The sequence below is a fragment of the Homo sapiens genome, chromosome 3, assembly GCF_000001405.40.
Source record: "Homo sapiens chromosome 3, GRCh38.p14 Primary Assembly".
In the NCBI taxonomy this organism is placed as follows: domain Eukaryota; kingdom Metazoa; phylum Chordata; class Mammalia; order Primates; family Hominidae; genus Homo; species Homo sapiens.
The window spans coordinates 76304747-76329423 of NC_000003.12; the positions used below are offsets into that span (position 1 = coordinate 76304747).

A 24677-nucleotide genomic window follows, 5' to 3' on the forward strand; every position below is an offset into this window, starting at 1 on the left:
CTTCTTTCTTTCTTTCTTTCTTTCTTTCTTTCTTTCTTTCTTTCTTTCTTTCTCTTTCTTTTTTTTTGTCTGTGTGTGTAATGAAGAAACAGTGAGAATTTTCTGGACTAGAAAGATTTTTCTCGATGTATATATGCACCACTGGGCCCTTTCCAGCACTCAAGCGGGGTAAATCCACCATTTCTTTGGTCTGATGTAAGGTGTTCAGGGAGATGAGTTACTCTCTGTGGGTGAATTATCATAGCAGAAATAGGAGACTTCCTTGGAAGCATAAGAATATAAATAGGATATTTTACATTGCTGTTGTTGCAGAGTGTGTTGGTAATAACTGTTCTGTGGTCATCTTGGGAGCTTCAGTCAAGAAAAGCATTTTAGATCATGCCTTTAATTGAAGCATTTTGGGAGGCTGAGGACAGAGGATCACCTGAATCCAGGAGTTTAATATCAGCTTAGGCAACATAGCCAGATTCCTGTCTCTACAAAAAGCTAGAAAAATTAGCCAGGTGCAGTTGTGAGTTCCTGTAGTCCCAGCTACTCTGGAGGCTGAGGCAGGAAGATTGCTTGAGCCCAAGAGTTCGGGGCTACAGTGAGTCATGATCTCACCACTGCACTTCAGCCTGGGTGACAGAGCAAGATCTGTCAAAAAAAAAAAAAAAAAAAAAAAAAAAAAAAAAAAAAGAACAGCATTTGTTCTGACTATACTTACATAAAATGATGGCTACAAGAATCATCGGCAGGGTGTGGTGATTTATGCCTGTAATCCCAGCACATTGGGTGGCTGAGGCAGGCGGATCACGAGGTCAGGAGTTCAAGACCAGCCTAGCCACCATGGTAAAACCCCATCTCTGCTAAAAATACAAAAATTAGCTGGGTGTGGTGGTGGGTGCTTGTAATCCCAGCTACTCAGGAGGCAGAGGCAGGAGAATTGCTTGAACCCAGGAGGCGGAGGTTGCAATGAGCTGAGACTGCACCACTGCACTCTAGCCTGGGTAACAGAGTGGGACTCCATATAAAAAAAAAAAATTGTCCACTTCTATTAGTTGGTCTGAAATGCATAGTGTAGGTTGTGCTCTGGGGGTGACAGAGCAAGACTCCATCTCAAAAAAAAAAACAAAAAAACATCACCTTGTGATCAGACAAGCTGAGGATTGCTCAGAGTTTCTCAGCTTCAACACTATGGAGATTTTCTTCTGATAATTCTTTGTTGGGAGGGGAGGCCTGTCCTGTGCATCGCAGGGTGTGTAGCAGAATCCCTGGGCTCTACCCACAAGACATGTGAGTTGCACTCTTTCAACCTTGCTGTGACAGCCACAAAATGTCTTCAGACACTGTCAAATGTCTTTTTGAGGTTAAAATTGATCCTGATTGAGAGCCTGCTAGGTACCTAGTGACCAAACTCACAGAATTTTCAGAAAATGGATTGGTTCAGTCTTCAGCCTCATCTAATGAAGTGAGTATAATCAGTGAGATTAAAAACAACAACATATTGATATAAAATATAAAATTTGATGTATTTTTTTTCAAAAGCTTGGTGACAATTTTTGTTTGTAAACTCATTAGGGAAGGTTTTATCTCATACACATTCAATCATTAAAAGTCTAGTAACATAACTCACATTATGCCATTACTACCTAGTATCAGAGATTAGTAAAAATTATATCCTTATTAAGAAAATAAATAAAAGGCAAGATGGTATTTATTGTGCATAAATAGTAAAATTCAGGGGGTATAATTAGAATAAATCATGGTATTGGATAAAAATGAATATATATAATTATGGAGATTCCTAAATCTTGCTTAATGGTGTCAAAGTTGAAGCAAATGCTAGCAGGACAGACAAAATCAAACTTCAAATGACATATTTAAAGAAGAGAGCTTAAACGCTGGAATAATTTCCCATTATTCTTTGTATTTAATTTGTAACTAAATTCTTAAGGATATAAGCATTTTGATAACAGGGACTTTGTCTGATTATTCTTAAAATACCTAGCATTTTTCCTGGCTTAATGTATAGGTTTTAAATGTTTGTTCAATGAAGGAATGTAGATAAGAAACCTTAAAGTTTATTTCAAATTAGTCTCTTTCTATTTATTCCCACTGTTTTCAGTTCAGTTTCCAAAGTTTTCTTGCTTGGACTATTGTATATTTAAGCGGTTTTTCCTGCTTCTAATTTCACTCCCCATCATAATGCAGCCCATTTTTTTAAACTCATTTTGGATCATGTAATTTCCCTAATTTAAACCCTTTGTTGACCCCCTACCATTGAAGATAAAGCCTAAAGCTTTGGTGGTTAATGCACTCGAACATTTTAATCTAGCCCCTGCCTACCGCTGCTACTCATCTATAGGTTCCACACCCAGCCACACTGCCTTCCTGGCAGTTCCTGGAAGGGGACAGGCTTTCTTTCCTGGCTGTAACCATGCTCATGCTATTTCCTCAGCCTGGATTATCCTCTGCCTCTTGCCTGACTTGACCTAGTCTTAAAATATATTCTCATTATTTGATACTTAGTGGAAAAGCCACCTTCTCTGCCCTGAATGTCCTAGCTGAACCAGCTCTTTCTCTTCTCTCTCACTGAACTTCACTTTAATATATACCTCCTTTATAGTACTCCTTCTCTGCAGTCTTCCTAACCATTCTTTATGGCCTGCATTAAAGCATTTATTATGTGTATTGTAACTGTCTGTAAGTCAGGTCTTGCTGGGGCCTTCTTTTTCTTCATGTTTTCCTTTGAGCACGAGTAGGTGGTGAGGAATTTTATTCTGATTGCCTCTCTCGGTGGACCTTCCCATTTATAGACCTCTGTGCTGCTGCCAGTAAACTAAAGAAGATTCCAAGCCACAACTACCCCAAAATCCCTCTAATTCCCTTACCTTTCAAGCTTTGCTTAAGCCCTTTCCAGTTTCCCAAGATCCATGCGCCCGACTCAGTAAAAGAGAAGAATAACAAAAACTGGGGCTGTGCAGGATTCAAATTCTAGCTCTGCTGGGTAATCACGATGTGACATTGGCTAAGTAGCAATATGTAGAGTATGAATAATAAATGACTCATCTCACAAGTTCATGAAAATAAAGAAAACCTCTAAAGCACTTAAAACCTCACATATATTGAGCATGTTATCACTATTTGCTATTCTTTTACATTAAGATGTTACTTATGAGCAAGGTAGCTCAGAAGGATTGAGAGTGCAGAGACAACAGTTTCATGGAGGGCCTAGCACAGGGATGAGCAAAGGCTTGGAACTGAGGGGTTTGAATTCAAAACAGCACTATGACGTTGGATAGGTGACTTAAACTCTCTGTGCCTCAGTTTATACTGTACTAAATGCAGGAAAGAATTATCCCTACTTTGGCTGGGCATGGTGGCTCACGCTTGTAATCCCAGCACTTTGGGAGGCCAAGGTGAGTGGATCACAAGGTCAGGAGTTTGAAACCAGCCTGGCCAATATGGTGAAACCTCGTCACTACTAAAAATACAGACATTAGCTGGGCGTGGTGGTGGGCGCCTGTAATCCCAGCTACTCGAGAGGCTGAGGCAGAAGAATCGCTTGACCCCAGGAAGCGGAGGTTGCAATAAGGCGAGATCGCACCACTGCCCTCCAGCCTGGGTGACAGCGTGAGACTCTGTCTCAAAAAAAAAAAAAAAAAAAAAGAAAGAAAGAAAAGCAAAGAAAAAAGAATTATTCCTACTTCATTGTGTTTTAGTAAGGATTAAATGAGTTGATGAATGCAAAGTGCTTTGAACTTGTAATAAGTTAGCTAATTTGTTACTAATATTAACGTAGATGGGAAGGCATTTCTAAACTCATACTTTCACAGATACATGTCTCATTGGACTGCCTCTCCTCTTAGTCTTTCACTTTTCCTTCAGATTGTACTCTTGTTTATTCCATTTGCTACCCTCACTATTTCCATATGAGGAGGCTTTCTCTTCTCTCTTCTGGTATGCAGAAAGCTCCAGCAGAACTTCAAACTTCTGCCAGATGAATTCTGGAAGAGAGTGACTTCCCTTGTTGAGCAACAGTGATTTTGTTCTTCCAATTCCATTTCAATTTCCCCATCAGAGAGAGCTGTGACCTGGTGTCTACTAGGGATTATTGAAAAGGAAAGAAACCTTGGAAATCTAAACATGAAATATTTTTGGAGTGAATCTAACCAGCTTTACCCCATTTCAGGAAAGAATGATTTTCTTAGTAACCTTGTTCCGGCCAGACCTTTCAGAAAAATTCAACAATTCTATCCACACACTTTTATTATATTCAAACCTATTTGACATTTTTTCTGTTCTGCCAAAGGGCCAAGACATTTTTTTTTTAATTGCTAATCATGAAATCTGTGCTTTTTCTTTGAAGAGGGATGGAGCCAGCGGAAAGTAAATGGGTTTAGTTGTAGAGTCCTCCTCAGAAGTTGGTGGTGAGGGAGTTGGTCAATTTATTCTACCAATTTCTGTTTACTTGCATTTAAAGAGAGAGGAAATTGTCAGGTAAACAGGATAGTGACTGGAAAAAGAAAATCAAATTCTGAGTTAAATATAGCTCCCCATTTTTAAGTATGCAAAGACATGGAATTTTAAATTCACTATTTATAAAATGGGCATAAGTTTTTCCTTCCTCACACAGAAGTTTTCAAATTGAAAGTTGAATACAGGGTGATTATTGTTTCTAAACTAAGGCACAATGTGAGAGTTTATTTTGTGTATTCCATTAATTTTTTTTGACAAACATAGTTTCCTTTTTATAAAAACAAATTGTAATAACTGTATTTTCAAATTTAATATGTGGCTTATCTTAACAAGATAACTTGCTCTTCTAAAGGTACCTCTTCCAAGAATATGATTTGAAAGCGGTAATTTGTTCCCTTTTGAAAGTGATAACATCATAAAACTGGTGGTTATCATAATATAGAAATTGATTACTTTAAAATACATAAGTGCATAATTCATGTATTGTGTCTCACTGATTAAGGAAATTAGTGACCATACATATACTAACATGTAGACAGATTTAAAATAGTAGCCAGAATGTTTTGATCACGCCAATTCACTTCAGGTGGCAAAGATTCTATCATTTTTATTAATTATTATTGTTACTATTATTGAGACAGTGTCTTGCTCTATCGCCCAGGCTGGAGTATAGTGGCACCATCATGACTTACTGCAGCCTCAACCTCCCAGACTTAAGTGATCCTCTTGCCTCAGCCTCCTGAGTAGCTGGAACTACAGGCGTACCACCATGCATGGCTAATTTTTTTTTTTTTGTAGAGGTGGGGGTCTCACCATGTTGCCCAGTCTGGTATGAAACTCCTGGGTTCAAGTTATACTCCTGCCTTGGCCTCCCAAAGTGCTGGAATTACAGATGTGAGCCACCACGTCAGACAATCCCAAATTAGTTCATTTTATATGTATGCCTTCACCCACGTCATCTTCATCCAGGGGCACTGTCATGTGTTAATTATAACCATACCTTGTGACCAGCAATGTCTGCATAAACATAGTCGCAAAAGACAGAAAGGCTTGAGGAGCTTGTTGTATTTCCATGGTGATGTACACAAACAAATAAAAATATGCTTTCTTGAATGTGTGATTAACACGTTCCAGAAAGCCTTGGCCGTCTATGTTGGTATTTCCAAAAGTTTGCTTATGATATTCATGGTGGGTTCATTAGGGTGACACAGGAACGCCGAAATAAACTGACTTCATTGAACACAGAGGAGAGCTGCAACTACGTATTGAGAACTTGCCCTTCCTGTTTTATTGCTGGGGAGAAAAATTATATACTTATTGTTGTTCATCTAATAAATATTTCAGACCCATTTATGAATCATTAGTGCCGATGCAATCCCCTTTGAATGTCACGAGGTGAAGTAAAGGAAAAATAAGATACATTTTAAGTTCTGAGTCTTCCTCTGCTACATTGCCTGAATCCTCGTCTATCCACACAATAGATTAACTACCCTCTGTGCATACTATATTTTGCTCAGCCCTTAATATTCTGAAGCTGAACTGAAGCAGGCGTTATCCGTGGCGGTTCCTGGGTGGTTTTCAAGCCCAGCACTACCCACCCAAGTGGCGGTGACACCGGCTTTCACTGAAGCCTTATTACTCTTAAAAGAGCAATTTGGTTGGTTGCACGGCTATTAGGATCACACAGGCAGCCTGAAAGCTGTCAGTACAACTGCTTCTCATCTTTTTCACATAATCCTGACATCTTTTCCCTTTTCTGCTGGACACAGACATTACTGTTTTTATCATTTTCAATCAAGCTCACCCAGAACACTGAGGAATATATTCCCACTGAAAGCAAAGTGGAGAACAGAAATTATTTTATAGCTTCTGGAGTAGAAGCAGGGCTGACTGCGTACTGAGGAGAAGGAGCCGGATCCGTGAGAAATGTAGCTTGGCTCAGGGCTACATCAGGAAGCTGCTACTTCAGCTGTTAAAGATGGCAAAACAACACCTACCTCAGGTTTTTCAATGATTAATGCTATTTTCATAACCAGGAGGGAAGAGGATGTGAGAAATTTTGTGAAATTAACTTGTGGAAATGTTATCATCAGAGAAAGTGGAGAAAATTACTAGGCTTGAACTTCTCTTCGTTTTGATGCTCTTCCTCTCTGGACCAACTCTGAGCAAGCTGACCCGGACCCCCTGGAAAGGAAAACCTTGGAAGGGGGGTAAGTGATGAAAGTTTCGTGTTAAAGATCTAAATGGAGTTAGCAAGGCCAGTTACTGCTAACTTAAGGACAGCTGAGGGTGAAGGAGCTGCTTCTGTCTGAAATCAGGTTTTTATTTCAGGAAAGGGGGTCTGCGTTGCAGATAGCTAGAAAGAAGAATTTTCTGTTATTGATATCAATATATTTTTGCAATGTTTGGTTTTCTGGGCTTTCAAAGCATTACAATGATCGTTTCCAGCAGGGAGACTGTAAGAGCAGATGCATGCTTCTCTAGTGCAAGAATATATGTGTTTTCCTTCGGAAGCCGCATTATTTTTAAAAGAAATGGGTTCTGAATATGCTAGATCCCTGAATTGTTGGCAGATTTTGTGAACTGATCAGAGGGATGTCTGAGAAAGGGCATGTTATGAAATGCAGTGCCACCAACACTAATTTTCTGGCTGACTCTATCAGTGTTGATGTGTTAATAAAGATAAATTGCATTAACTTTATTGGAAAAAAATCTGCTGAATGAGAAAAAGCCTTTCAGTACTTTGAAGTGTTGTAATACATTTTCTTCTGCTGTTGAAAAATTATCGTGAGATGGGAGAGAATTTTTGAGACTTTGAATCAACCTTTCTATAAAGTTCAGTGGGTTCTGCTTCCCCGAATGCCATTTGTTTATATAAACACAAGTTACCAAGATATGTGTTTTGTGAATGCTGTAAGCCAAAATGATGGTGCAGACATATCCCACGAGAGACTTTCTGGACACTGTTTGTATGTTTGGAGAAAAATCTTGATGGGAGATATATCTGAGGATTTTGCTTTGCAGAAGCATTCTTTTTACCTAACGTTTTTATCTTGGCTGTAAAAATGTTTCTGAGTCTCCCCTACCATTTCTTTCCTGTCAGTGTTTATCATCTGAGGTTCAAGAGAAGCATGTATATTATGAACAAGAAGTTTTAAAAATGTACCACAATATCTCAGCAGGATTTTCTAAATACCCAAGCCCCATCAGTCTGATCTTTCTGCTTCTCCTTTTGTTGCATTAAATATATTACAAATCTTCTGCCTACTGTACCTTTGAGGGAAAAGTTCCAACAGGCACTTAGCTTAGATGGTTGGTGCAGATCCACCCAGAGGAATGGTGCTGCAAATTATCTTCAGGCCTTGTAAATTATACCATCACATTACTATATTTCCTAGTGTTATCAATGGATTTCTTTTTCTTGCAAACTGCAAGCAGTTATTTATGTTAGCCTGCATGCTGGCCTTTAGTAGCTTAGGATTTAGCGATGTATGGTGTTATTGATGTCAGGAGTGTTAACTTGTATTTCTTACATATGGTCAGTACCTATAGCATGTCAAAGTTTAATTTCCTGCGTTAAACTTAAGCAGTAAACTTTGGAGCTCTAGCTACCCGTGAGAAAGATTGCTGCAAGATTTTAGCAAAGTTGTTAACCTATTCAGAAAGGTTTATTTAAAATGCTTGTGTGTGTTCCTAAGCATGTATTCATTTCACACAGCTTTGAATACAGATGCATTAGATTTCATTTGTAAATCAAGTCTGAAATGTTTCCTCTTTGAACATATGACCACTTTTTCCAATGTACTCTAACTAGCTCAGCTAGAAATTTGCTAGCTCTGCTGTGTGATGATGATACAACTCAGTTAAGTTCAGGAATAGGCAATCATAGCAACATATTTCATATTGTTAAAAGAATTCTGTGTATTTTTTAAAGGTCAGTCAAGTTACTGAAAAACTTTAAACGTGTTGACTGTGCTTTAAAATTATTTCCTTTTTAGTGCCTCTGTTTGTTACTGTATAGGCATTGCATAAATATTTTCCACAGATTCTGAGTTCCTGCGATGTAGCCTCGCCTTGATATGCATATGTGTATGTTGTAAATATTTATTTATTCATGAGCTTGGCTATTGATGGTGGTGTGTTATCTTTCAGTGGGTTGTAAAATTCTGTTCGTTTTTTTCTTGGCATGCTATGCAGTCTTTTAAAACACATTTTTACAATTTGTTCAACATTATTTCCCTTTTCACAATGTAAGGATCTTCATTTATTATTTTGAAAGATACCTTGCAGAGGTGTTCTACACATGAGGTGGGATGGGGGAGAATGAGTCATGTTAAATTAAACACTGTGGCCAGAGGCAAAGAGGATCAACATGGAAATACAACATTTTAAAGGTTACTTTACTCTTTTTTGGTTTGCTTCATATCAATACCAGCTCAAGCTTACCTGCGTACAAAACAATCTTTAAAACAGATACTCTATTTCTAAAAATCCTGGAAAAGATACCAATAGCAAACAACAAAGTTTTCTTCCGAGTTATTTTTTTTTTCTTGCACTCACACTGCCTATGTGCATTTGTCTTAATCTGACTGAGCAGCTGTCAACCTCCATATGGCAACCTGCTCACCTTGACAATTTCCATTTTTGTAGTATTAACAGGAACTACCATTGAGACAGAAATGGTTATTGGGGCAGGCTTGGGGAGTGGCAGCTTCAAAGACCAGTGTATACGTGTGGCCTGTGAGGAGTGATACGAGCAGCACGTAGCCAGACAGCACCAAACGGATGACGGGAAACTGACTTGTCAGAACATTTGGAAAAAAGGCAGATTATTGTTGGCTCTCAAGGGATTTTTAAGCTCATCAATGAACATGACTCCCAAATATAGGTTAGTAGGCCAGCAAGTTTTCCCTCAGGCATACACTTTTCTATTTAATCACAATATATGAACACCTTAAGGGAAGGCAGGTGTCCCATCTGATTAATTTAGAGCATGACATAAGTGATCATAAGAGTTTGCATTTATGATAAACTCACCAGAAATCTTAACTACATTGCTGACATTTTCTTCATTAGAATTACAGAAGCTAATTATTTTATGTTCGATTACCTTCACCATGAAAAAGTCTAAAAGATGTAAACAGCTCCATTCACATGAGCATAACTCTACAGAAAAGTTTACAATGCAGATGTTCAATATATACAACAAAAAGGAAGTTATATATAAATAGATAATATCATATTTACATATAATATACATATGTATTGAGTTCACCCTTGAATGACACAGGTTTGAACTGTGCAGATTCACTCATATGAGAACTTTCTTCTGTCTCTGCCACCCCTGAGACAGCAGGACCAACCTCTCCTCTTCTTCTTTAACCTACTTAATGTGAAGACATGAGGATGAAGATTTTATGATGCTCCACTTTCACTTAAGGAATAGTAGATGTATTTTCTCTTCCTTACGATTTTCTTAATAACATTTTCTTTTCCCTAGCTTACTTTACTGTAAGAATACAGTATATAATACATATAACATATAAAACATGTGTTAATCAACAGTTTATGTTACTGGTAATGCTTCCAGTCAACAGTGGGTTATTAGTGGTTAAGTTTTGGGGAAGTCAAAAGTTATATGCAGATTTTTGACTGGCACAGGGGTCAGTGGCTCTAACCCCTGTGTTGTTCAAGGGTCAATCATATCTATTTCTGCTATTGGAAATTATAATTTAAGCCAAATTTTAATATTTATAGCTACTATTAAAGGTACAAATGGGAGGTAAATAGGTATAAATAGAAAAATAGGTCTAGAAGATGTAAGTGGGTAAGGCTGGCATGAAATAGTCAAAACGTTGACCCCTTGGTTCAACACAAACATTGGCTAGTCTGAGCAACCACTGATCAAACTAAGAGGGGGAATTAGACCTGACTGTTGTCCATGTCCCACCCATTCTGGCACTTGACCTTGACTCCATTTCAACCTCCTGGAAGAGTCTGTTGAGTTCACTCAATCATCTCACTTATGACATGAGAGTTAAACTATTGGCAACGAAGTATGAAGTGATCAAAACTTTTAATAACTCAGAAAATTATTTCACACAACAGCCATACTTTTTTTCTGTAATAAATTACAGCAGCCAGTTATCTAATATATATCTTTGCTAAGCAAAGAAAGCCTCTCTGGCAGTTATCTTCTCCCTCTTTAGGAAGGATTAAATTGTATTATGAGCACATACTACGGTATTGCAACATTTTAATTCATGGTGCATTGAAGCGCTGACCTAGGAATATTTAGAGTGGCAATTTCAATTTTAATCTCTTATCTGCATGGTCCCATCTAATACATTGACAATTATTTCAGAATTTGTTGGAGCTTGTAGAAGTTTTTTAACCTTAAAAGTTAAGAAAAAATTATTAAGTATTTGATGGTGTCTACTGCATAGAAGCCCATTATTATATTTCTTCTGATGTTTCCCCTAGTTATATGAACTAATAAAAAATTTACTGCCTCATAAAACCAGTATCTCACATTCCTTGCTATTGGGTAAGAAATCAATATTTTCATTAATCAGATTTGAACACAATGATTTACTCTTTCAGAAACAATGAAATAACTTAATATTGGGGGAACCAGCCCCCAGTATTTCAACATAGGTTCTTTCTATTTTCCCTAAGTGTCGGCCGGTCTGAGAAATAAAGAGAAAGAATACAAAGAGAGGAATTTTACAGCTGGCCCTCTGGGGGTGACATCACACATTGGTAGGTCCATGATGCCCCCTGAGCTGGAAAACCAGCAAGTTTTTATTAGGGATTTTAAAAGGGGAGGGAGTGTACGAACAGGGAGTAGATCACATGCTTCTGAGGAAACAGGACCAGGACAAAATCAGAAACTCCTGATAAGGGTCTATGTTCAGCGGTGCACGTATTGTCTTGATAAACATCTTAACAGGAAACAGGGTTCGAGAGCAGAGAACTGGTCTGACCTGAAATTTACCAGGGCTGGTGTTTCCCAATCCTAGTAAGCCTGAGGGTACTGCAGGAGACCAGGGCGTATCTCAGTCCTTATCTCAACCGCATAAGACAGACACTGCAAGAGCGACGATTTATAGACCTCCCCCAAGGAATGCAATTCTTTTCCTAGGGTCTTAATATTTAATAATCCTTGCTAGGAGAAGAATTTAGTGATATCGCTCCTACTTCCATGTCCATTTATAGGCTGTCTGCAAGAAGAAAAATATGGCTGTATTCTGCCCAACCCTGCAGGCAGTCAGACCTTATGGTCGTCTTCCCTTGTTCCCTGAAAATCGCTGTTATTCTGTTCTTTTTCAAGGTGCACTGATATCATATTGTTGAAACACACATGTTTTACAATCAATTTGTACAGTAGAGGTCCTGAGGTGACATACATTCGCAGCTCATGAAGTTAACAGGATTAGGAGATTAAAGTAAAGACAGGCATAAGAAATTATAAGAGTATTATTTGGGAACTGATAAATGTCTATGAAATCTTCACAATTTATGTTCAGAGACTGAAGTGAAGACAGGTGTAAGAAATTATAAAAGTATTAATTTTGGGAACTGATAAATGTCCATATTAAAATGAAATCTTCACAATTTATGTTCCTCGGCCGCGGCTCCAGCCAGTCCCTCCGTTCAGGGTCCCTGACTTCCTGCAACAACTTAAGACTTTCTGGTTTGAGGAAACAAATGTAGATCACTTTATGTTGTTCTTGAAATAACCCCAACCACTACACTAGTTCTAACTTCCAGATAAAATGCTTCTAACCTGCATGCTTAAAATTATATTTCATCTTCTAAAGGATTATGACACTTTACATAGATAAGAAGACATCTGTCAGTTTTTATAGTGCTTAATTGTTATGTGCGTCTGTGTCTTTTTAACCACTTTGTAAGTAATTTCAAGAGAAATTTTGTCTTTGATTAATCTTTGTTAACATGCAGTCTTGTACTTAATAGATGCTTAATAAATATTTGATGAATGGACAAAGTACATGGAAAAATAGACTGGTAATACAATATTCTGACTTTAAGTGTTAATTACACATTTCTTACTTTTAGCCAATGTGATGGATCTCACCTTTGTAACGCTGGGAAATCATTTTTATTACAAGGCTTTTACTATATCATTTAAATGTCAGTTTTAGTTGTAGAAAAATTTGAAGGTATTTTATAGTAGTCAAGAAATTTGGAAAACTCTGTCAGACTCATGTAGGAAGTAGTGCAGTAGAAAAAAAGAAAGCAACACTGTTGTTCAAAAGTAATTTATAATGTGAGATTGGGAATCTGGAAACTGAACTGTATGAATATTCATGCAAAATGCAGAGTGTTCTTTGTACTGTGTATAATCATTACGTCTGAGTTTCATTTGTTTAAATAATTTAATCTCCATCTGTATGCAATAAATAGATTTAATACCTTATCTTTCTTACAACTGAAAAGTAAATTCCAAAACCAGGTCTGAAAAACATGTTTTTTCTATATGTTCAAAAGATTATTAGAGTATTTTTTATATATAGTAATTGAAGAATATGCTTAGCAACTATACTAAGATCTGTTGTAAAACTTACTCATATTGTTTCATGTTATTTGGGAAATAGCATTTAATAAATTCAGGAAAATTCCATATATATAAGATTTTGATAATGAAAAAAATGGTGCTTGAGAATAATAGATTTGTCTTAGCTATAGAAAATATGTCCTGAGTATTTTTTATCCATTGTCATTTTTGTTAAACTTCTATTCAAATTCACTTTTTTAAATTTTGACATCAAAATTTCATTTTAATTATATATTTGTCATTAATGTATGCTTGTTCCCTTGTGATTAAAATACCCTGAGATTTCATGTTATTTACCTGAAATATAATTTTTAATTTAATGACAAATAGGGAAAAAATTGGAAAGAGTTTTGATGTATTCTTCATATTAGAAAAGTAGGTATATTAAAGTAGGTATATTAAAAAAGCTCTTTGAATTTTACTTACAAATAGACTAAGCACTCTTATCAAAAGTGGGGAAAACTACTGCCTAGGTAGCAGACGGTTGCACCACTTTGAAGAAAACGATGTTGGGAAGCGTATGTTCTTTATAATGTCAGATTATGCCAGGGAAAAGTGTGGGTTGAAAAACATATTAATGCATTACACCCTTATCAAGCATGTGTACAAATTGTGTGTATATATCTATCAGCCCCCACCCTCTCCTCCCGTTTCCAAATTACACACATGCATATACACATATTTACAAACATATACACACACATTTGTTTAAAAACTTAAAAGGGAAATAAAGATGCTTGGAGGGGTTATTTAATTTTAAAAACTGAGATAAATTGACAGTAATAAAACACCTTGGATATATTAGTGTTGGGGTTCATGAATGCATAGTTAAGATTGTGTCAGCGCTTCCATTATAAGCTACATTTTCAAAGGGTTTACAACTTAGCTATAAAATTTTTGCTTCAGGGTGGACCATGGCTAATATTAGGTCTTAGTCCCAGAGCAATTTCATTTTTTTTAGTTTTCAAATTCAACCTTCAAAGTTAGTTGAATGTTAAAAAATGGGGAAAAAATATAAAGTTTAGTTATTTTCACAGGTTTTGTTACTTGAAAAGGAATTAAAATTTCAAAAAAAAGAAATTCCAAAAGTGATGAGAGTTGGTAATAAGGTGTTTGCCCAAGTCAACTGAAGATTATGTGAATCAGATAATGACCTTGGTCAATCAAGACTGGGGATATTTTAGCTGTTAAGGATTTTAGTTTCATTAAGAAACCAAGGTCACCCAAACAAGAGATAATTCTTCTAAAAAGGAAAGAAAATAAACATATTACATCGAAAGGCCATTACATTTTCAGAGACCAGGGAATTCATCAGGGCTTATGGCCCCATGAAAAGTTATCTTTCAGCCATTCAGTCTCATCAGTCCTGAGGATCACCTTTGTCCAAAAGTAGAATTTAAGAAATGAAAACAAAGGATCACAATCCCAGACTTACAAAAATAAAATCAAAGTTCCAAAGTCTTTTATTGATGTCTTAAAAATGATATGCAGCTTCACACACAAAAGAGATTTCTTGACTTACTCCACACTGGGTTTTTGAAATCCGTATATTAAGTAAGTGTTCAAAGCTTGCTCTATCGAAGACACTTGAAAAACTATTCTATATATGGATTCTACCCTCCATAAACTTATAATTTATAATTCTTAAGCCTTTTTTTTCTTTCTTGGGAAGGAATATTCCTTTCCCTTTAGCTGGTGTCTTCAACTAAGTTAAATGATTATGATGTTGAAAACAAAATTATACTAAAGTTGCACTTGGTTCTATTTTTGGGGAAAAAAAGTATCCAAATAATATTTTGAGGTTATCCTATGGTTGATTTCAAACCAAAATCTCAATTTCTCAATTTAGGGTAATGTTGAGTAAGCTCCAGCATTGAACCTGTTCTTCAAATTACTTGTTAACTTCTGGATGATTCATGCTGATTTTTGTTTGTTTATTTATATTTTTTTCCCATTTGTGCTTTTTTTTTTAATGAGAGAATGGCTTTCAAAATACAAAGTTATTCCTGTTCTTGTTTTTGTGATATCTATAAGTATCTTTAGCTATTGAATATAGGTTATAATTTAGCTTAACGTAGAAATTCAAGTAATCTATGTAGGAATTTTGGTGTGTGGCATGGTGATATGGTCTAGGAAATACTCTGTATCCCAGGATTAGAGGGGGGAAGGCATCTGTATTTGATAAACGGAGGGGAAGTTGTTGTGAACCCATTTCTTTTTAGGCAGGATATGGTTTATACCTAACAGATTTAGTTTGAAATATAGTCCAATTTGCTATTTAAAACAAACTACACATCAAATTAAGCCTATCATATTTGCTTCAGATTTCATTTTGTAATGAAATTCTTTTATAGAATTAAGTAGGATATTATCCAATTCACTATTATGCAAAAACAACAATAAAACTTTATGTACCTTTAGCAATAATATTTATTTGAATGACTACATTTTGAATTTCATTTCTGTACAAAATGCTAAATTAATATGACTATATTCTTATGTAGAGAAAATATTTTCCTGATATTATTATTCAGAAAAATTAAAAAGATGTAATGAGTTCATTCAGTATTGTCAATTTACAGCTCTTTGTATTTTGCCAGGATGAGGTACAGAAATTCATTCCTTCTGTCAATTTATGAAGAGTTCACCACATCAGCTATTAGGACAGACCCTACATATGCTCTGTAGAATCCCTTCATATCAATGTCAAAAACTCTGTCATGAAAAAAGTAGTTATCAAGCTGGGCAAAGTCCAACATTATGTTCTGGAGACAGCGGCATTTTGTGAAATCTCTAATGTAATAGTTGGCAGCTAATAAAGAATTTATTTTAGGTCAATCAGAAATGTCACAGAAGTACCTTCTACAATCCATAGAGGCCTAAGAATTGCTCCTGGCTAACAAGTACAGATTTTCATTTATCTAACATAATGTCCCATTCCTGTTGAGGGATTTCATGGACCAGTGTGGAGAAACATACAGGGATTTAGGGTTGAGGTTGTTGATTGCGAAGTGTAATGAGTAGGACTTAATGCACTGTTAGATGAAGATCTTTACTGATTGCCTATTTCCATTGGAGGCTCCTAAAGATGTTATGAAGGTAATTTGTACACTTCATATGGAACAACGTAGATATACTGTACTATTAACAAAATATTTGTAGTCTATCTACTATAGCCATGGACTTATGTAGCCTAGTAGAAAATCTAAAAGATATACATGCATTCATTCAATAAATATTTACTGAATGCTCCTAAGAGAAACATAATACAAGTCATCAGAGAAGACAAGAATGAAGATACATTTAGAAAAATATATTGTACAATGCATGACCTGTAAATTATGCATCTCCAGTTCCTAGGCTCTAAATAGAGCAATATAAAAGGAAAATATATTTCAAACAATGATAACTGCAAATGAGCACAGGGAGGTATAGAACTATATGCTAGGCCAGGCGTGGTGGCTCACACCTGTAATCCCAGACTTTGGGAGGCCGAGGTGGGCGGATCACGAGGTCAAGAGATCGAGACCATCCTGGTCAACATGGTGAAACCCTGTATCTCCTAAAAATACAAAAATTAGCTGGGCGTGGTGGCGCGCCACTGCTCAGGAGGCTGAGGCAGGAGAATCTCTTGAACCCAGGAGGCGGAAGTTGCAGTAAGATCATGCCACTGCACTCCAGCCTGGCAACAGAGCGAGGCTCCATCTCAAAAAACAACAACAACAACAACAACAACTATATGCTACGTGTATCAACCCCATTGGTTTTATGAAAGTAACAACTTGACTAATGTTACATGGTAGTCCACTTCCAACCAGCCAGGCATTCAACCCAGGTAAACTGTGCTACATTTAGGGGACAGTCAAGTAACCTACCCCCATTCTAATGGACAGTGTGTTGAGAATTAGTGGAAAATAACAACAGAGTCAGTTAAGTATAGCTGTAAGAAGCAGGAAGATGAATCTAGAATTTATAGAACTGAAAATAAAAGGCCGTTGTAAGACTTGGCAGGACACGTCATATGATGACTGCAGTGTTTAGGGAACAATTCTGTGTGCGTTACCTGGGTGACAAACTTTCTTACCGGTCACCCTGGAGTACTTTTCCCTCATTACATTTGCAAGATTTACTTTTTGATATCTTAAAAACAAAAGCAATCACACAGAATCATGTGCTAGAATAAAGGTCTAGCACACAGAATCATGTGCTAGAATAAAGTTGTAGGGCTGGTCCTATTCTCTTAGTGTGAAGAGTTTCATCTATGATGTCACTGTTACTGAAAACTTTTCCTGAAACTATTTACTTGCCTTATATAAAATATCTTGTGCAAATCATCTTCTGAAGTGGTTTATTTGAAATGATTTCTACTTCTTCCGTATATATATATATATATATATATATATATATATATATATAATATACACACACATATATACACACAGACATTATATAGTGTACATTTAACTAAATTAGTATATAAATCTATCCTGTATACAAATAGTTCATCTTTTATAATTACTACATTTCACTGTGTGTAAAAATTATAACGTTTGCTTCATTTATCAGTTATATGTTATCAGTTATCATTTTTACAGACATTTCATAGAGATATAAATGTGTAACTTGGAGCCTCAAATATATGTTCTAAAAAGAGTTCTTCATATCATAATCACATTATTGGATGATCTTTAAGATTTACTGTTATAATTTTAAATGCCTTATGTATACATAAAAGTATGATTTTATTCATCTGTTTGAAGAATCCTAGGCAAGTGGGTGGGTACACTAGTTAAATAATTTGAAAGTGATAGCATGTTTTTCCCAAGCACAAATTTTGACTTATAATAATTAATTTTAAAAAGAAGCGGCGAAGTTACCGGAAGTCAGTTTTTCTTGTAACTTTAATTCACTTTCAGTTAGATTTGAACAGACTCTTAGGAACTAAATGAGCACAAAGTACACCAAGAAGATGCATTCTTATATATCCTATTTATAGTTTAAATTCTTACAATTTTGATTACAGCAACCTTCTTATCCATATCTTGCAGATACATTTAAAGGCAATTAAAATAACTTTATGGGGTAGCAGCTCACGTTTGCTAAATTTATTTGAAATATCGCCAAGAAATAACAGAGACACTGAATTTCTGCTGACATCTCTGCCATTTATTAGTTGTATACTCTGAGGCAAATTATCTGACTTCTGTGATTCTCACATTCTCACAGTGCTATTTCATGTGGAACAAACAAGGTCATATATGCAAAGTAACTAGCAGTGTAGCAGTGGTCTTTCAATAAATATTTTCTTCAGGAAAAACTATACTCAAATCTTTTACTTATTGTTAGTATTACACACACACACACACACACACACACACACACACACACCCCTAAAGGCTAATTGCTGGGATTCATGGAGCATTTCTTGTGTGCCAGCATTGTGTTAAATGCTTTCCAAGTATAATCTTATTTAATCCTGTGTCTCTATATTAAGCACTACTTTTCTCTTTCTTAAAACTCAAATAGCCAAATCTGGATTTTTTTTCTCCTCATTCGAATTCATCAATCTGTATTTTAGGCTCATTATAGATGTGAAAATGTTAGATGCATACTATTATTTTTTTATTTTTAGTCAAATAAAATGCAATCACTGTTCATTACCTCAACAAATTAAGTACTAATATCACATCTGGTTTAAAATAAAGACAAATGAGTCTATGATTAAGAGGTATTTGGAGAATATTGATGGTGTAGAAAAAGCAAACCCTCTATTTTAAGAAATCCAACAAGACAGGCTTAGGTGGCATGGAGAGTATCGTTTCCAGATCACATATATAAAATTGGAGTATTCACAAGGGCAAACTTGGAATTGAATGAGCCAGGTCCAAAACCAGATGGCAAGAAAAAGTTTCAAGCTGTTTCATTTGGAAATTGGTTTTTGGATTTCCACGTGGTGCATTACAAGTTCAAATTAATTTTAAACTTTTAATTTTTCATATGTATCTTCATGACTCCAGCACATGCCTCCTTGTCTGTCTTGTTGCCAGTCAATCTAAAATGGATACCAAAGTGCTTTTCACTCTACATTAAATACACACAGAATAGCACTTAACAGTGAGCATTTTGAACTCCTCTCAATAAAAGTTTTAAGAGATAAGAAGCTTTTTCTGTTTCAGGTCACTATTATTCTGAATAATACATAAACATTGAGAAATGGTAGAAGTTCTACTGAGGATCAAGACATAACTTCAATACAATGATCTATCATTATCACAGTTTTGGTATTCTAGTAAGCCTCACACCATACTACACTAAATGTTCAATATTGCTGTCTTTTTTCTTTCCTCTCCTTATCATAACACTATTTAAAGGAAGAAATTGTAGGATGAAACGGGGTTACTCATGGGAGTACTTTGACGTGCCAAAAGTAAAACACTGAAAAAGAAAAAAGGTCACTTTTCTAGCTTCAAAAACCACAAGGGATGAATCAAATGCTTTGAGACGTAATATGTGATGCTCTTCTAGAACTGAAGCTGTGTGTTCTTTCAATCCCAGTCAATGTGGTTGCTTGTGTATACCTTAGGTAGATAATAAAATTCATTGTTAAAAAAATGTACAGCTACTGATTTAGGGTGGTTTCTAAAGGTCACTGTAAATGAATATGTTTGGAACAGTTGATAAGGCAGAATGCAGGACGGAGATTTTTTCTCTCATTTAACAAGTTAGCAATTTCTTCAATCCGTTAAATTACCTGATAGCATGTTTGCTATGGGTTGGAGAGCTTTAAGTAATCTGTGTTGTGTGTAGATTCAAAACATGTTTAAGATCCACGTGAGTCTAATTTTCAAAAGTACATGAAAACAGAAATCTTTGAATGAGTAAAAGAATTTTTTCTTGAAATCATGAGTCCTTTCTTCCTCAATAATTCTGGAATTAAATATCAAAAAACTTCTCTGGAAAAAAAAGCACTTTACTACATGCAATTTCTCTGTTACCTAATATAATCTGAGAATGTGATTTTCTGATAAATGAAGTTGACTATTAATAGGAATATTAAAAACAGATCAGTCTCCTTTGGGAGGCCAAGGCAGGCAGATCACGAAGTCAGGAGATCGAGACCATCCTGGCTAACACGGTGAAACCCCGTCTCTAATAAAAATACAAAAAATTAGCCGGGCGTGGTGGCAGCGCCTGTAGCCCCAGCTACTCGGGAGGCTGAGGCAGGAGAATGGCATGAACCCGGGAGGCGGAGCTTGCAGTGAGCAGAGATCGCACCACTGCACTCCAGCCTGCGTGACAGAGCGAGACTCCGTCTCAAAACAAAAACAAACAAACAAAACAGATCAGACTCAAATAAAAGCCTAACTTAAAATATTTTTAAATGCAACATTTTATTTAACACTACAATGTAAACGCTCTGCTGTATTTCCATATTTTATAATATCACAATGGCTCAGAGCCTTCATTATGAATGTCAACTTTTATGGTATCAAAGCAAAAAGAGCCAGTTAGCAGAAGTTCACAATTATTGTACAGTAGATTAAACTAAGTTTACTATAGGATGCATTTCTATATATGGCAATAATTAAGTTAATAGAGCATAAATAAGTTGATAAAAGGAAGTCTGATTATAGCATTATTCCTCAATACTTCCTTAGTTTCGTTTTATAAATAATTTAAAAATTACCTTCCCAATGTTTGGGGATGTCAGGTATCAGACCATACTTGTAAACATACTTGTAAAATGTCAGGTATCAGACCATACTTGTAAACAGTTGGTTGTAGCCTGGATTATGAATAATTTGTTTGCATTTTAATCAGTTTATAAGCCAAAGCAGGTGATGTTGAATAAGTTTCTCCCTTGATTTTTTATTAATGCTACTCGAGATACAGAGACAGTGCAAAAAATAAGAATAAAAGGCCAAATTAAAAAAAAAAACAACAACCCTGTTTTGATATTGTTAATAGTCAAGTATTCCCTGTGAGCTAATTTGACAGTAAAAACACGTGGAAAGGCATTGGGAATAAAACATACCTGTTCCTTGTACAAAAAGGAACGACATAAGCTTGAATAACTATAATAACAAAAGTTAGGTGGATTGAAGTTATCATTGATCAGAGAATTATTCAAGATTCCATTATTCTGAGCCTAACAGTATTGTAGAAAATACATTTCTCACTTGAGAAATGAACCTTGTGTCTTTAAAAATGATATCAGGAACATTAGGCAACCAAGAAAAACATGTTGAAAATCATGAATATGTTATTTTGGTGATTAATTTTTGATGATGCTAAATATTTTATTCTGCATGTTTTGGAGACTTTTGGTCTTAGAAAATAGCTGTTTACCAGTTTGAGTAATTATCATAGCGTGTTGGCAGAGGTTAGACACTAAGTAAGCTTAAGGTTTAATTTATCTTCCACTTAAAAAATGGCACATGATCAATGTAGACACACTGGAAATAAGAGAAAAATTTAAAGGGAATAAAAATGACTATAACTCCTCTTTGTAAGAATAGTCACTTTAGTTCTACACTCTAAGAATGTTCACTTTAACCCTGTCCAGTATTTTTTTTGATGTTCACATGCATGTAGATAGGCAGATAAATGGATGAGTGTGTTTGTGCATATATATACACACATACTAGTAAATATGTGTATACATACCATGTACATACTAGTAAATATATGTGTATTATGTTGCATAATGCATATATTACATACATATATGTATATTACATTGCATAATGCATATATTATATTGCATAATGCATATACCGAATGAAAAATTTATTCATATGCAGAATTATTATCTTTTATTTATTTATTTATTTATTTTTATTACTATACTTTAAGTTTTAGGGTACATGTGCACATTGTGCAGGTTAGTTACATACGTATACATGTGCCATGCTGGTGTGCTGCACCCACTAACTCGTCATCTAGCATTAGGTATATCTCCCAATGCTATCCCTCCCCCCTCCCCCCACCCCACAGCAGTCCCCAGAGCGTGATGTTCCCCTTCCTGTGTCCATGTGATCTCGTTGTTCAATTCCCACCTATGAGTGAGAATATGCGGTGTTTGGTTTTTTGTTCTTGCGATAGTTTACTGAGAATGATGGTTTCCAATTTCATCCAAAAATGTGGCACATATACACCATAGAATTATTATCTTACATACATAATTTTGTATCTTATTTTCTTTTACTCACCTTTAGATTATGTCCAATGTTATGAATATCTTTGAGTATAAATCTGATTATTCCTTTGGCAAAGTTTCTAGAAGAAGAATTATTGTCTCAAAAGATATAATCATTTTAAGGCTCTTGATTCATAATGCCCAAGGAGCATTTTATAAAAGAGCACCAATTTACATGCCAAACTGATTTGAGTTTAAATGACTAATGTGCTTTCAATAGTTTAGAAAAGTATCTATTTTCTCAATTTGATATAAAATATAGTATAACCTGATATAACCTGATTTTAATTTAAATTTATTAATAATATACCTAAATTGGTAATATTTATATATTTGTTCATTAGCTATGCATGGCTTATATGTTATGAATTTCCTTTCAATTTAATACTTGATATACATTTTAAAGTAAATTTTTGTTATAATTTCAAATATGTGAAGAAGTGCTTTCAAATTTGATAATGACAGATTATTAAAAGCTAGCTAGAATTTTGGCCAGCAGTGTCACAATTCAATATCATAAAAAGTAAAAATTCATTAAACAATTCTTGATTCTATTAACCAGTATTTAATAAGAATCTTTCGTATATTAGAAGCAGAAGATGATCCTTGGACACTAATATGATTAAATCTAGCCTGCATAAATATAAACACTAATTTTGAATGGCTTAAATATCATTGGCATCATTTCACATTTTAAGAATTCCTATTTAAGCAGGCAACATGATGTGAATGTTAAGAAAAAGTAGGCAAATTCACATTTTGGCTCCATTCATATGATGTGCAGATTTTGTGAGGAAACAGTCTGGATGTCATGCTTTTTGAAATATTGGATTAAAGAACATATAGACAACGGTGAATAGAGTGTTAGACTTTTCTTCAGAAGAATGTGAAAAAAAAAAGTGTTAAGTCTGGATAATGGGGAAGATCACTTTCTTCAGAATCATGTGGAAATAGGAAAAGAGGTAGTCTGAGGCATCAATGAGACAGGGAAAGGTTGCCCTAGATGGGTTAAATGTGTGTTTCAAAGGGGAAAAAAAAAGAAGAAACCAGAAAGAAGAGAAAGAAGCCTTCACTAAATTAATTGATTCTTTAAGAAGTCCCAGATTTCAGATCAACATATACAATAGTTCCTTGATGACTACAAATCATCCAAAAGTGATATATCTATCTTGGGACCATTAATATTTATTGTCACTAGAAGTTTGAGCAGAGCACAATCTTCATTATGATGAGAGATTATCTACATATTCCCGTCCAACTCTCAGATTATATACATATTTAAAATGAGAATAGAGTGCTGCTGAATATCCCATTAACCAATTGGAAGATATTCCCAAAAGTATTCATTGTGGTAACTAGGTAATTTGATAACAATTCAACGTTAGGTACTAGCAAAGGTTTTTCAAGCATTTCTTTTAAGAATTTCTCTCAAAATTTGTCCATTAATTTCCTAGTATAACATATATCATTGCATTTTTATAAAATATGTTATTAGTTTGGAGGCCGAGGCGGGCAGATGACAAGATCAGGAGATCGAGACCATCCTGGCTAACACGGTGAAACCCCATCTCTACTAAACATACAAAAAATTATCCAGGCGCGGTGGCTCACGCCTGTAATCCCAGCACTTTGGGAGGCCGAGGCGGGTGAGTCACGAGGTCAGGGGATCGAGACCATCCTGGCTAACACGGTGAAACCCCGTCACTACTAAAAATACAAAAAATTAGCTGGGCGTGGTGGCGGCGCCTGTAGTCTCAGCTACTCGGGAGGCTGAAGCAGGAGACTGGCGTGAACCCGGGAGGCGGACCTTGCAGTGAGCCGAGATCGCGCCACCGCACTCCAGCCTGGGCGACAGAGCGAGACTCCGTCTCAAAACAAACAAACAAACAAAAACAAATATATATATATATATTTATGTTATTATATATATATATATATATATATGTTATTAGTTGTCATATGTCTCCAACTTCATAAAGAATGACAGCTAGTAAAGATTTCCAAACAGATGACTATTCAAACAAGCAGACTGGTTGTCAGAACTCCAGGGTCCCCAAAGGAGGCAACAGCTCAACGGATCAGAGGGAGTCGGTGGACAAGCTGCACACTCAGCGCAGGAAGCAGCTCGTGGATGTGACGCTCCACTTCACCTACCCCAAGTCCCCCACGGAGAGACACGACAAGGTCAGGCGGCGCTACTCCTGCCGCAGTGAAGGAGCCCGGGACTTTTTTTTGTTGTTTTGTTTTTTGAGATGGAGTTTCGCTCTGTGGTCCAGGCTGCAGTGCAGCGGCGCGATCTTAGTTCACTGCAACCTCCACCTGCTGGGTCAAGCAGTGTTCATGCCTCAGCCCCCTGAGTAGCTGGGATTGCAGGTGTGGACCACCACACCCGGCTAATTTTTGTACTTTTAGTAGAGATGGGGTTTCCCCGTGTTG

General features: G+C 35.9%; 1 protein-coding gene across 29 annotated transcripts in view; it reads left to right on the forward strand.

Moving 5' to 3' along the window:
* ROBO2 (roundabout guidance receptor 2) overlaps positions 1-24677 on the forward strand; it is a 1743290-nt gene that overhangs the window by 398072 nt on the left and 1320541 nt on the right. For 20 of the 29 annotated variants that reach the window (XM_011533981.3, XM_011533983.2, XM_017006988.2 and 17 more), the window contains exon 1: positions 6134-6671. The exons of the other annotated variants lie outside the window; for them this stretch is intronic. In XM_011533981.3, coding sequence (XP_011532283.1) covers positions 6542-6671 — 130 coding nt within the window. In that variant the 5' untranslated portion in view covers positions 6134-6541. Of the gene's footprint in view, positions 1-6133; positions 6672-24677 lie in introns of those variants that run through there. 29 annotated transcript variants of the gene reach the window in all.